The sequence below is a fragment of the Homo sapiens genome, chromosome 7, assembly GCF_000001405.40.
Source record: "Homo sapiens chromosome 7, GRCh38.p14 Primary Assembly".
Lineage (NCBI taxonomy): Eukaryota > Metazoa > Chordata > Mammalia > Primates > Hominidae > Homo > Homo sapiens.
In genome coordinates this window covers 45,644,967-45,659,154 of record NC_000007.14, presented here as the reverse complement: position 1 = coordinate 45,659,154, position 14,188 = coordinate 45,644,967, and the positions used below count along the sequence as shown (strand labels likewise).

Here is a 14,188-nt window from a genome sequence, read left to right as displayed (position 1 = left end):
AGCAGTGGCTCCACCAGGATCCCCAGAGGAGCAGGGGGTGGGAGAAGGAGGGACAGGGAGGGACTGCCAGGCCAGGAAGAGAGGCTGCAAAGGGGCCAGAGGGCAGCACAGGCAGGTTCTGACTCCAGCCTCAGCTTGTCCCTGTGCTGCCCCATCTACAGGGGCCGATTCCTGTCATCAACTCAGAGTGCTTGGATCCCCGGGCCCAGTCCCTGCTGGGATGCTCCCTGGGTGTCCCCATCAGCAGCTCCCATTGGCCTGGGGCAGGCAGGGCGCTCACGGCAAGCCTCAACCCTTGCTGCTTCCTGCCCCCCCGGAGGGGCCCTGGAAGCACCTGGGGACACTGTCACCCCCATCAGCCTGGCCCTGAACTACAACGGTCACCGAGGCTGTCTGGAAACTTCCAGTCACCACAGTCTCCAGAAAGGCAAGTGTCTGTGCATTCCTGTGTTCAGCTGATGCTTCATCCATTCCATCAGCAATGAAGACAGCGGCTGCATAGCCCGGCCTTGGGAGCCAACGGGGAGAGGAAAACACCAGCTCTCACTGAAGCCCCTGCTTTATGCTGAGCCCCGGGCACACTGAGGGGCAGCCAGTGTTCTGCAAAAGTTGCCTGCTGAGGGGCAGCCAGTGTTCTGGAGAAGCTGCCTGCCATGATAGCCACTGCGAGATCATACAAAAGGGAGATTACAGGACCTGGGGGTGGCAGAGGGGTGCATGGAAATCTTCCTCAAGACAAGGCTGAGCCTGCCACGGTGCACAGCCATCAACAGCCCATGGCACTTCTCAGAGAGCTCAAAGAAGGCATCATCTGTGACCCAGATGTCCATGAGCTCCTAGATGGCTGTGTGGAGCTTGGGGGTGGAGAAGGAGCTCTAAAGTCCCAGCACTTTCCATTTGCACATTGAGAAAATGAAATCAAAGACAGCAAAAAGAGAAGTGATGCAGTGACAACAAGCCATGAGGACAGCACCATGCCATGGGCAGAGGTCCCCACACGCATCTGCTCTGGCCTTCTGGTCCAATGACAGCTTTTTGTAGATGTGCGCCAGGCTCAGCTGGGCCCAGCACAGACTGGCAGCCAGGCTGGGTGGGACGCCCACCACAGGGAGTCTGGTTGGCAGGTGCGGCTGGGACAGGCAGGCTCCTCCAGGAGCACTCACACAAGTGCCCTCAAGAGCACAGCCCAGAACCTGAAGCAAGGATTTAGCCCAGGGGTGCACAGCCATCACCCACCTCCCTCCCCTCCCCACCCCATCCCCGACTTACCCTGGCAGGCCAGCGGCTTCCATGACATTGGCCAAGGTCACATCATTGGACCACACGTCGTACTGCCACTTGCGCAAGCCCAGGACACCACAGAGGACCCTGCCCGTGTGCAGACCCACACGCATGTTCAGATCCACCTCGGTGGCTTCAGCCACAGATCTGCAACACAGACACAGAGCGTGGGGCTAGGGCCCACCTTGTATCCTCCCAGGGGGCCACCTTGGTCTGCACTGCTAGGCTGTGAGCACCAGGGAAACTGGGTCTTGTCCTTGCTGCATGTGGCCTGAGCGTGGAGGTCTCCTGGCATAGTCAGTGGACATGGAGCCTTCCTGCCCACCTGTGGGCTGAGGGCCTTAGGCAGGAGGGGTGGCTCTGGCCCATGCTCCCAGCCAGCTCGCACCATGTCCACACCAGACTCATGAGTTCCATTCATGGCCTCCTAGAGGGCCCTCCCTGACCAGGGCAGTCCCCAAATCCCAGGTGGACCTGGTCATTACTGTGGAGTGTGGCATCAGGACAGTTCAGATTAACATAAGGCTCTGTGAGGCCACTGCTCCCTCGCAGGGACCCATGCCTGCTTGCCAGCCAGATGCAGATGACAACCTGCTGGAAACATCCACAGGATCTGCAGCCCAGGCATCAGGCTCTGCCTCCCACCCCTTCCTGACACACACTTGGCCTTAGGCCTCAATGCAAACTTATGGTCAAGGCCTGGAGGCCACATCCAGACATGAGAAGCTGGTGACATGAGGGGCATTCACCAGGAGCTGGGGTGGGGACAACAGAGTATGGCAAGGGGTATTAGGGAAGGGAAAAGAGGCAGAGCAGGTGGTGAGAGAACTGAGGGCTTCTGGGAAACCCCAGGCCAGCCTGGCCGAATTTGGGTACACGATGCCCATCTCTATGCCTCAGTTTCCTCGTGTATACACCCAGCTCCAGCTAAATTCACTTTGACAAGCTTTGAAATCATTTAAACTCTAACCCAGTACATCTCAAGGCTTAAGAGGCCAACCTCCTCTTTCTATTCCATCCGGGATGGAAATACTAACAAAAGCTCCAAGGACTAAGGGGTGGGCCATCAGGTGGTGACAGCAAACCAGCTCAGCCTGGAGTCCCATTCTAGAGGCCTCTGTATATCACATTTGTCAATAACAACTCGGTACATGCAAGGCAAGGCTGTGCCACCCACCCGAGAAGCCTGTGTCTGGTTCACCTTCACCCCAACTTCCCACTGTGGCCTGCTTCCTGGAGCCCCAGCCAAGGCTCAGGGAGCACCTGCTCCACACAACCCCACTGCTTCCCCAACCTCCACTCAAACCCTTGCCAGCTGCCCATCACTACCCACTTCATCCTTACAAGGGCCTGTGCCCAAAAACCATAGCACATGGAGGCCCCAGCAGCCACTCCAAGGCAGATGGCTGCCCAGACCACAGAATCACACAAGTCCCAGCACACGTTCAGAAACCTCAGTAAACTCAGAAGTATGCATGCCACAGATTTACATTATGTGGAAGTTAGACTACTGATATATCTTTAATACCTATGTAGTTTTACATATTTTGAATATACTTTTTTTTTTTTTTGAGACGGAGTTTCGCTCTGTCGCCCAGGCTGCAGTGCAGTGGCGCTATCTCCCCTCACTGCAAGCTCCGCCTCCCGGGTTCACACCATTCTCCTGCCTCAGTCTCCCGAGTAGCTGGGACTACAGGCGCCCACCACCATGCCCAGCTAATTTTTATTTTTATTTTTTTTTTGTATTTTTAATAGAGTCGGGGTTTCACCATGTTAGCCAGGATGGTCTCAATCTCCTGACCTCGTGATCTGCCTGCCTTGGCCTCCCAAAGTGCTGGGATTACAGGTGTGAGCCACCATGCCCAGCTGAATATACTTTTTTATTTTAACTTTTTTTCAGTTGTTTGCCAATCTTCTTTGAGGCACTGAAACCAAACGCTGAAATAAAAAATTTATTTTTCAAAATTCACAAAAGGAAATGAGTACGGGAAAATGTAAATAACATAACATACTAATAACGTTTTTGTGCACTGTTAGTGTTTGTGCCTCCGAAGCCATGAAACAGTAAATGGCACGGAGACTTCTGGGACCCATGCCCACCTTCATCCCCAGATCCCCTCGAGCTCACCAAAGCAAACCTTTAGGCTCCTAGCAAGTGGCACCTCGACCAGCCTCCAACCAAATCCACGCCACCATGTTCTACCAATACTCTCCATCTTCAATCTTTCCCAGTCGGTTCTGCCTCAAAGATCTCAATTCTTGGTAACATCAGATCTGCCGTTAACTGAACAGTTACTTCTAAAAAACTGATGCACCCAGAACTGTTCTCATAGTGACTCCTCTTGGTTTCACCATTCCTGGGATGCCCAAGCTGGCTTCGTCTAAATCCAACAGAACCTTTAACTTCATTTCCAAGGAACAGAATTTCCACGGACTTTCTTGGCTTTATTTGTACTATGTTTTTTCTTTACTTGTGCTCTCAGGTTCACTTATTTATCACAAGTGTTTTTTATGCAGAGGAAGAGTCTGACACTTGCCCACCACCTACAGCCCTGACCTTGGTCCTCTGAGCTGGACCCCAACAGGAAGGAAATGAGGAAGCAACCCACCTCTGGCAGAGGGGGCCACTGTTGGCCCCTTGGCGTGAGTAAATTCTGGCAGAGCTGAAACCTAGTCATGGCTGCACTGAAGCTTGGAAGTGAAAGGACAGGTAAGCATACATTCATTCACTTGTTCAACAAACATCTACTGAGTGTCAGCCATTATTTCAAGCACTGTAGCTATAGCTGTGCACATAACAGGGGGAAAAAAAGAGAAGAGAGGACACCATAGAGGCCGATTTACTGTCACCTAGGCAGAATTTCTAGAAATAACAACAACACACACGCCTGCAGCAGCCTCCAAGCCCCCATCCTTGTGTGGCGGGAAGGGCAGGGCAAATGGTTTCAGCCTCAGGTGGCTCAAGCTCATCACCTCAACTTGGGCTCCTCCCTTCCCTACCTAGGACTCAGTTTCCCTAACTGTAAAAATGCAGCTTCTCGATCTAGAATATAAAGATTCAGAAGCTCCATGTCCCCTAAAATTTTAGGGAAAACCACGTGTGGTGGTTGTAGAAGTGTGTGCACACAGGCATCACCTCTCCCACAGAAAATCCATCCCTAAATGTATCAACAGGTCTGGCTCTGAAAACTAGAATCCAATAATTAGACGAAGTAATCCTCCAAGTTTCTCTGCGCTGAGAAACTGAAGCATGCTCCATGTGGCACACACTAGCCCCCTTGTTAAAAAGTAAGATACTGCTGGGGACAGCCCAAGTGCCAGGCAGACAAGGCCAGCAGGCATCCCTTCTCGCACGACCTCCAGGGATGCAGGCTGGGGGACAATCAAGTTCTACTGACGACCACAGCACACACAAGCTGAACTTAGCAGCTCAAAAGTGGGTCAGGGAGGAAAAGCACATGCCATTTACTTCTAATTTAATTCAATGTAGTAAACCAAAAATACACACTGCCAGCAAGGCATCTGGATTGAGTCTATTTAGCAAAAATGGTGGCTTGCATACTTGGTGGTCATGTGGAAGAATGAGGTTCCTGTTCAAAATCTGATTCACGGTTTGCCTATCACCTGTGACGAACAAGGCTTCCCCCATGAAGTGGACAGAAAAATCCACATTCCTATGGGTACACAGAACCATGTGGCTTCAGATAGAATCCTGCCATATTGGCCACCGGCTCCCTCTTTCTGGGAGCTGATGAATCAATACTTGCAGCGGCTGCTAGAACCCAGTCCATGCAGGCCCATTTAATCTGAGATCTCATTAAATTATCAAAACAACTCAGAGATGCAAACACTGTTTCTCCATTTTACTGCAAAGAAAATTAAGGACTCGAGGAACCTGAAGCATCGCCTGAAGGATGGGAGCCAAGAATCTAGCAGGTTCCTGAAATCAGAAGCCCCCCAGCCCACTCAAGAAACACAGCAGCTGGGGATGAGGTAGCTGAAACCATATGAAATGCCATTTTGGTAGGCCAGAACTGGCTGACTAGGAGCAACTTCCTAGGGTGACCTAATACTCAGGGCAACTCTGGGAGAGCAGCAGAGCTGGTGGTGCGTGTCAGAGGAGAGGGGTATGAGCAGAAGAAGGTGGGTGAGCACAGACCTCACACAGAGCAAAGCCCCAGTGGGGGAGAGGGACTCAAACCTGAGTATCCCCCAAGCCAGGCCCCAGGGAGGGGTTCAGGCCTCATCTGACTTCACCAGCAGGAGAAAATGCCCCCTTCTTTCTGCCCCAAGAGTGTCACACATGACTTCCAGGTATGGAATACAGAGAGGGAACATTGGGAAGCCTCAGACTAAGACTCTTAACACGTGGAAGGTCTCAGATTGACACAGGGACTGATGTGCTGCCTGTGTCCCTGCAGTCTGGGCATCGCGGGCAGTCCTGCAGAAATCCCATTGGAAATTCAAGGTCAAGGACTGGCCCCAAACCTCAGGACACAGGGCCTGGTCTTGTCAGCCTGGCTGCAGCAGCTGGGAGGTTGGTCCTGCCACCCTCATCTTTCCAATGCTCTGTGGGCTCAGAGACAGGATGTCATGAGGCAGAATTGGCCATTTTACAGAGGGGGAAAACTGAAGCTCCAAGACAAAAGGAACATGTCCAGGGTCACACAGCTCTTCAGGAGCAAGACCAGCACAGTCACCAAACTCACTGGACAGTTAGGATACTTCTCATCCCATCTTCATCTCTCCTATAGACAGGAACCACCTGGCCCAAACAGGGAATGTATATCACTTTTAAAGCATTCACTAAGAATCATACCAATAAAAATTAACGGGCATTTCCAAAATAGTATACCACACTCCTAAATAGAGCCCAAGTTTGAGAGAGAGGTGGAGGTCAGGGCAAGTAAGCTGGGGGCAGGGTCAGACTGCCCAGGGCCATCTGCAGGAGCCCAGAGCCTTGGAGATGCCCCAGCCCACTGCTCTGGCCTTTGGATGCTGTGGCTCCCAGAGGGCCAGGATGGCTAAGCTTGGTGGCTGAGGAAGGTAGGGGCCCTGGGATCCCACTTTCAAGTCCAGCATTCTTCACCATGTCTTTACAAAGAGATGCCCCACCCTGCACTTCAGAGGGCCTCTCTCAGCCCCACCTTGATTCACACTGGAGCCTCACTAGGCCCACAGGCATTTGACAAAACGGGTCCTAGACTCTTCCCAAATGACCGATCTGCATGAAAAAGGACTAGATGCTAGGCGTGGGAGGCCTAGGTTTACAGATCAGAAAAGGAAAATATGTCTATCCGTTTTTCCCATAGGAATAAACATTCTTCAAAGCGATAAAACAAGATCTTTCCCACTTGTTCAACAAGGAAAAGACTTTCTCCAGCCTCAGAAATCAAGACCCAGCTCTGGCTGCATGCTTGCCTGCACCTGCAGCAATTTCTTTCTTGTGCTACCAGCAAAGCATTGGCCTGAAAAGAGGCTGACAATGGAGCCCCAACACCCACCCTCTATCAGAGCAGCCTCTGGAACCACGGAATCTGCATGGGATGCTTCAAGAATCTTCCAACCAGCCAAACCATCCTGATATGATTTGGCTCTACGTCCCCACCCAAATCTCATGTCCAGTTGTAATTCCCAATGTTGGGACCTGGTGGGAGGTAACTGGATCATGGGGGTGGATGTCCCCCTTGCTTTTCTCATGATAGTGAGTGAATTCTCACGAGATCTGGTTGTTTGAAAGTGTGTAGCTCTTTCCCCTTTGCTCTCTCTCTCCTGCCGCCATGAGAAGACGTGCTTGCCTCCCCTTTGCCTTCCGCCATGATTGTAAGTCTCCTGAGGCCTCCCAGCCATGCCTCCTGTACAGCCTGTAGAACTACAAGTCAATTAAACCTCTTTTCGTCTTAAATTACCCAGTCTCAGGTAGTTCTTTATAGCAGTGTGACAACAGACTAATACACATTCCTTATGTGCCTTAGGATTTCCTCTGCCCACTCAGAATTCCCCAAGCCTGGAACAGACCTCTCTGTGGGCCTTGGAAAGGGACACATCTGACCTGCAGGCCCCTCTCCTTCCTGGTCACTCAGGCACTGAGCCTGCCACCGAGGACTCTATTAAAAGAGGAAGTCAGTGGGCAATTACTGAAATTAGTGTCTTGGGGCATGGCCCGCTCCTTTGGAGATGGGAAGGGCTTTCTGGAACAGAATCAGACTCAAGACAGGAAAAAAATGCAGTTGAGAGTGCAGACCTCGCTACTGAGGAGTGGCGGGGAGCAAACAGAATCAGTGGGCCAGCTGCGAGGCCCAGCATGGAGCCCTGCGGGGAAAGGTTAGCTCTGGCCACTTCACCTGTTCACCTGAAACTTTGTATTTCCAAAGTTTCAAATAAAACACTCCACTCCAAGGTAGGAGGAAGAGAAAGACATTATATAAAGTGTCCTCCTCTGCCTGGGCAAGCTCCCCCTGTTGATAAACATATTCCATCCTGCATGTGCAAGGCAGGGACACACACAGCCCAATGTGGCTGGCAGGGGATGCACCAGATGCCAAGATGGTCCCAACAGAAGGCCGGCCGTGCAGAGCACACACTGGTGGGTCCCAGGGTCTGTGACAGTCTGAGGAGGAAGAAGGGTCTGTTTGGCTGGGAGGCATCTTCCGTGCTCAGTCTTCGGTGGCTTTTCTTCCGGTCCAGAGCCAGGAAGCTGAGTGACAGGAACTCTGGCGTGTAGAGCTTCCTGAGGCCCTGGGAACACTCTGGTAATCAGGAGCCCAAGCAGACAGCAGCTACAGGAGGCCCAGGAAGATGCCCCTGGCACTAGGGTAGACCAGTTTCAGGTAGCAGGGGTAGAGATGTGGAGCTGAAGGCACCAAATCCTGGAGAATCTCACAGACTGAGAGCCAGCAGCTGGAATGCCAGGAGAGCTGGCCAAGAGGACACAGGTTCATGGAGCAAGTGAACCAGAAAGTGGAGCAAGCCAGGTGGGTTTGCAGCTCCAGGCAGCTCCAGGCCAGGTGCAGAACCAGAGCGTAGACGCAGGGCTTCCTGGGCAGCGGTCAGGAAGAGGCACGTCTGCAGAAACAGCTTATAACCCATCAACATGCAGGGCAGAAACAGTAGAAGGAAGGACAGCACCCTTTAAGGCCCAGAACCTCAAGCAAAAGATGGGGTGTTACTGAGCACAGGAGCATACACAGCCAGGTAAGGAGACCAGGGGCCAAGAATAAGCAGCAGACCCCTCTCAGGAGGACCCCACTCGGCACAGTCAGGGTCACCAACCTTCAAGGGCAGAAGGCCATCCAGTTCAGCTCCACGAGCCACCTGGTCAGCCAGGTCAGCCCACATCATTCAACTCTGCTTGTGTCTGTGCTCAGCACCGAGTGGGGGCTTCACAAATATTTACTAAGCAAATGGACTGACATCTGTCTCCTTAAAGCATCCACCTACAGAGCCTCATTTTCCCCCAAGGAGATCACACAAAACCAGATCTGATATGATATATTATCTATATACACACAAATAGCATATGATATGTGATGTGATATAATGTCATTTATGACATAATGTGATATGATGTGATCCATTAAGAAATACGAAAGACAGTTATATGACGTGTGATATATAATATGTGATATGTTATATGGTAGATTATGTGATATGTGATATATGTGATATATATTACATGAAACATGATGTGGCATGTAACATATGACATATGATATACAAGTGATACATGATGTAAGGTGATGTATGATGTCATCTGAGATGCAACATACAATATATATGATATGCTGTGATAACATCCCATCCTTTCAGAGAACAGGTGATGGTCATCACTTCTAAGTCTTCTCCACGCCAGGCATCTTTCCTTCCTTCCTGCTTCTGCCCAGCATCTCCTCCAGCCAGGCTGCTTTTCTCTGGGGCAATGGCTCTCTGTTAGGCTGTGTACTGAGGTCAGCTGAGGGGGCTTTTCCACTCTCAGTCCTAGATCACACTCCAGACCAGCCACCTCGGGCTCTTGAGGTGGAGCTACCATCAGGGACTTTGGTTTTCACAGGCAACTCTGACATGAAGCCGTGTTGGTGAACCGCTGCCCCACAGGGCTCGGCTTTGCTCATGTGTCCGACACACAGGTGCCAGAAGTGGGCACAATGCTTGAGGTACCAGCCTCCTCCCAACCGCCTCCTTCCAGTCACACTGTCTGCAGGAGCACTGCATGGGGCAGCCCACGAGGCAGTGATGGGGCAAAGGGAGCCAGCAGTCTCGCCCCATCTCTCAGCCTAGCTGGGTGGGGTGTTTGCCTGTGCATCCTTTCACCTGCAACTACCCATCATCTCCCTACAAAATTCTTATGCTACTACTTTTCCGCTCCAGGTATGAAGCTATGCCCCAATCCCTGTTGGCCCCATCTCATTGGAGCATACCCACCTCTCCACATTTTGAGATGTTTGTTTGGATCTACACTCCATACATTAGCTCAGCCTTCCAGCTCCACACCTTCCCTAACTTGACAAAAACATCTGTGTCTTCATCCCAGTCTCTGATAAGGACAATGACAACATAAGACTGACCAAGAAATGGGCAGGCCTGGCCTCACAGGTGTAATATTCATTCCATGAAGACTCACCTGCCCCGATCCCAAGCCTGTCTCCCCACACAGAGAGCATCTGAGACCCAGTTACCTTGCTGAGTGAAGAGAAACACACATATTTACTTCCTTTTAATAGAGAATTCAGCTAGATTGGGGCCAAACCTTTCTGTATGTCTTATCTGGCTAAGCTAAAGACTAATTTATTTTTGTATGACTCATGCATACCTGACAATATGCAGGATTCCTGTGGACAAAGAAATACAGCCACACACGAAATGTAAAGGCAGGGAATCACGGAAGCATCCTTTCATGCTTTCCTGAACCCAGCATCCTCCTAATGCTGGCATCATTCTCTGCAGCCTCAGACAGACCCATCAGGACAAAGCGAGACCCTGAGAGGGGAGCCCACATGGGGCAGAAGGTGGCTCAGCTTCTAGGATTTCAATGTGTAGATGCCCCAGGCCACTCCTCTCAGCCCCACGGGGTACTTACGTGATGGTATCAATCATGTCGAGTCCCATCTCCACACAGCAGTGGGCATGGTCAGTCTTGGGCTGGGTGAGGCCCGACACGCAGTAGTAGCAGTCCCCGAGAATCTTGATGCGGCGACAGTGGTTCTCCTTCAGGGAAGGGCAAGGCACATGGTAAGAGACAGCGCTACAGAGGCTGTGAGCGCCACTGCTGGCTCCACCACCTCTAGACACTGGTGGCCACAGAGCGCTGGCAAGACATGCTGCACCTGGGCCACCACCTTCCCGCCCAGGCCACACCCTTGCGTGGTCAGCACAGTCTTGAGGGCTGGGACCAGGCTCACATTGATCTCCTTCTCCCTTTCCCCATACCTCGCTCATGGCCTCTTTCCCCTTCGGGGGTCCATCCCTCCTGTCTGCTTCACTGAGCCAACCCTACAGGATGATCATTCAAGGTCCGGCTGGAATGCCATCTCCATGGGGCATCTTCCCCAACTCCCTTTATTCCCACGGCACCTCCCTTAACCGCCATGCAGACCATCACGGACAGCCCTCTGGAATGTGCTAGATTCCCCCCAGCAGCTGCTTCTCCCCAGGAAGGGTGGACCTCTCACCCATCTGGGTGTCCCTGGGGCTTCTGACCTCCCCACCCACAGGGCACACTCCCAGGAGGCAGAAGGCACTGGCCAAAGCTGAATGTCCATCTGCTCGTCTGTACAGTGGTATGAATAGGAACAGCAGCACCAGCCTCACAGGGCACATGGAAGGTGGAGAGAGTTAACTCTAAGACCCTGTATTGTCTTACTTGGATCAATCAGTGTCAACTGGGATTATCATCACGACTGTTGTGTTTATTTCAGGGACAACATTAAAACAGCAGCTCTAAAACATTTCCATTTCAGGACCCCTTTATGTCTTGAAATCACTAAGGACTCACTAAAAACTAAAACTTTTTGTGTAGGTGGGTTATAGCTACTGATATTTAACAATAAGAATTTTTTCATGTACAAATGCATTTAAAATAATAATGAATCCACTGCATGTTAACATAAATAACATTTTATGAAAAATCACGACATTTCCCCAAACAAAAGACAATGAGTGAGAAGCACAGTATTGCAGTCCACTTCTGTGAGCCTCTGTGGTGCCGTCATCTCCAGGGCAGACAGTGGATTCTGTGACCCACTTCTGCATCCAGCCTTCGTGCTGTGCTATCTCTGCAGATGCCCGTGAAGGAACCAGCCTCACACAAGCACAGTGCTGGATGAGGAAGGACCTCACAAGTCCCCTGAAATGGTCTTATAAGGCCACAGAACTCCTTCAGCCACTCTGAGAACACATCGGTGGCTTATATTTAATGTGATCCTTTGGTTTCTTACAAATGACTGGGGCCCTGCAGGTCCTGTCGAATGCTGAGTTAACACAAGTGCATTTGGAATGAGAATCATCAGCTCTCATGACCCCTGTGCTCATCTGTGCCCCACATTCTTAGAGAAAAGGAACCATGGCCAGCACAGAGTGAGTCAGGACAGGGACAGGCCACACCGACCGCTGGGAGCCCCAGTTCCCAGGCTGAGCAGGGATTGGCCTAGCAGCTGAATGGCCTGTCCATGGAAGTATCTTCCCAGAGCTGAGCAGACAGCTGATGACCCTGCTGTTGTCCTGAGCTGCCCTCAGGCCTGGCGTTGCAGGGACCTTGAGAGATGGCCCTGGCCACCGCCCAGCATCAGAGGAGGGGGCGCTGTTGGGCATACAGTTGGCTCTCTGCCCAGCTCCTTCCACCACTGAGCCTCCCTCAGCACTCCAAGACCATGGACGGGAGAAAAGGGGAGGAGGTGATCAGAGATTTCAGTCTGTGAGATGGACACTGAGGCCAGCCTTGTAAAGCCCAGGGTCCAAGTCTGCTCTGTGAGGGCCCGGCAGGCTCCTCCTGCTGACAGGGAGCTGGTCACAGAGAGGCTGGTGACAGTACAAAGACATCCAGGGTCTGGCCACTTAGGGTCCCTTCCATCTCTGCATGACTGTGACAACTACTTAGCCCTTAGAACCCTGGCCTCCTCATCTGCAGAAGGGGGCCTTCCCACCTGCCCTCATCCCCCAGCAGGCTGAGCTGCAGCTGACATGAGCCTGTGGCAGGGGCCCGGGAGCATGAGTTCAGAGCTGGGTAGGTAGGTCCACTCCACCCAAGGGCAGGCTGCTTGGCCCCACAGTGCTGTTTCCCAGGTGTCCAAATGTTTCAAAGGGGTCAGGATATGCCTGCTTGGAGGACCAGTGATGATCTGGGCAAGGGTCTCTGTGCAGTGGCTGGCACCATGGTTACTGTCACTGCAGCAATGACATGGCCTGGAACCACAGTCAGTGCTCACAGAAAGGACCGTGTCCTGTCCCAGGGAAGGTACAGCCAAGAGGCCACAAAAGTGACCTGGACACATGGTTGCTGCCTGGTTCCAGTGCCAGCCCCTCAGGGCCCAGCTTGAATGACCATTCACTGGACTCCAGCGTGGGCTGCCAGCGCCAGTCTCTGTCCTGCAAAACTGAAGGCAGGACCCCTCAGGGACTCACCAGGGATGCGACCGGACAGCCTTCTCAAGCCATACTCACCAGAGCCTCCAGGCCCACAGTCAGCTCTGGGCTCTCTCCTGGGACACTACCCTGTCCCCATTGGCACTGCCCTGGTGTGCTCTGTGCATTCAGGCCTGCTTCCAAACATCCCCCAAATGTCCCCAACGGTCAGACACAGGCCTGAATGCACAGGGCTTGCCAGGAAGGGGAAGCGGCCACACCTCATACTCAGGCTTCCTCCACCCAGCCCTTGCCACCTCCCACCCCCTCCCTGAGATTAGAAACCCCGTGAGCACTCACAACCTGTGATGATAGCCCTGACACATCAGGATTTCTTCTCAGAGGCCCAAATGAGGGCTCAAGACCCCTCTGGGAGCCCACAAGAGCCACAATGCCCACTGGCTGCTGGAACTCTTCTTGCACATGGTTTTGGGAGGGTCACCAATCCCCAACTCTAAGGACCTGTGCTCTGGACGTCAAGGACTTTGAGGGTGATGTGGGTCCCTGATCATCCCTGCATCTCATGTGCGTGAGTGGACTCAGGGATTGTGGGCAACTGCTAGTGTCCCTGCCCCCACCTCAGCTCTGAGCTGTGTTCCCAGCATCCTTCCAGGGTCCCGTGGTTACCAGGGCCTCCTGGTCATCTCTGTGAGTCCAGAACAAGCCTATCCCTGGAGTGGGACAGGTGTGCAGGACAAGGCTGCTGAAGGGATGAGTGTGCATGAGTGAACAGGCCAGTCAGATCTGATGGTAGCAGGGCCTCCAGGGTAAAAGGCAAAGGTGGGGCCTGTCAGTACAGCTGCTCCAAACAGCCCACCCTGTCAACCCAACTATCCTATTTGACACCAAGACTTGGCATGGCCACCGCAGAAAAGGACATTGCTGTGGGGCTGGCTGGGGTGGAATCTTCAATTACCATCCCTACAGGAGTCCTATGTAAAAGGAGGCATAAATAGCACACGGGAATGAAGGCTAAAGAGATGCCCACGGAGCCTCAAGTGTGACCGTCACTGCATGGTGTGGGCGAGCTGTGAGTGGGGAGAACCTATCTCTGCATGAGGACCAAGGGCAAAGCCATCTAGCACAGGCTATCCACATGCACATGGTCATGTGGCAAGGCCTTACAAGCAGATGAGGGCTTGTGTATTCTAAAGAAATTGTCCAGAACACTTGTCTTTAGAACAGCAATCCTCTCCTAGAACCTGGGCAACTCATACCATACACACATGTGTGCACATATCCAGCTCACTCAGCATCACACATGAGTCTCTGGAAACTGTTCTGAGATGCA

The 14,188-nt window shown here is 52.3% G+C and overlaps 1 protein-coding gene across 4 annotated transcripts in view, besides 1 other annotated feature; it reads right to left on the bottom strand.

The window, feature by feature from the left end:
- ADCY1 (adenylate cyclase 1) overlaps positions 1-14,188 on the bottom strand; it is a 148,977-nt gene that overhangs the window by 63,962 nt on the left and 70,827 nt on the right. For all 4 annotated transcript variants that reach the window (NM_001281768.2, NM_021116.4, XM_005249584.4 and 1 more), the window contains 2 exons: positions 10,358-10,485; positions 1,270-1,428 (listed from right to left, as the gene is read on the bottom strand). In NM_001281768.2, the coding sequence (NP_001268697.1) occupies positions 1,270-1,428; positions 10,358-10,485 (287 nt within the window). The remainder of the gene's footprint in view (positions 1-1,269; positions 1,429-10,357; positions 10,486-14,188) is intronic.
- Positions 12,540-13,453: an enhancer, noted in NCBI's record as "H3K27ac-H3K4me1 hESC enhancer chr7:45685301-45686214 (GRCh37/hg19 assembly coordinates)". NCBI's record gives its function as "activates a minimal SCP1, AML or CMV promoter by ChIP-STARR-seq in naive H9 embryonic stem cells {active_cell/tissue: H9 hESC(naive)}" and the evidence as "EXISTENCE:reporter gene assay evidence [ECO:0000049][PMID:30033119]".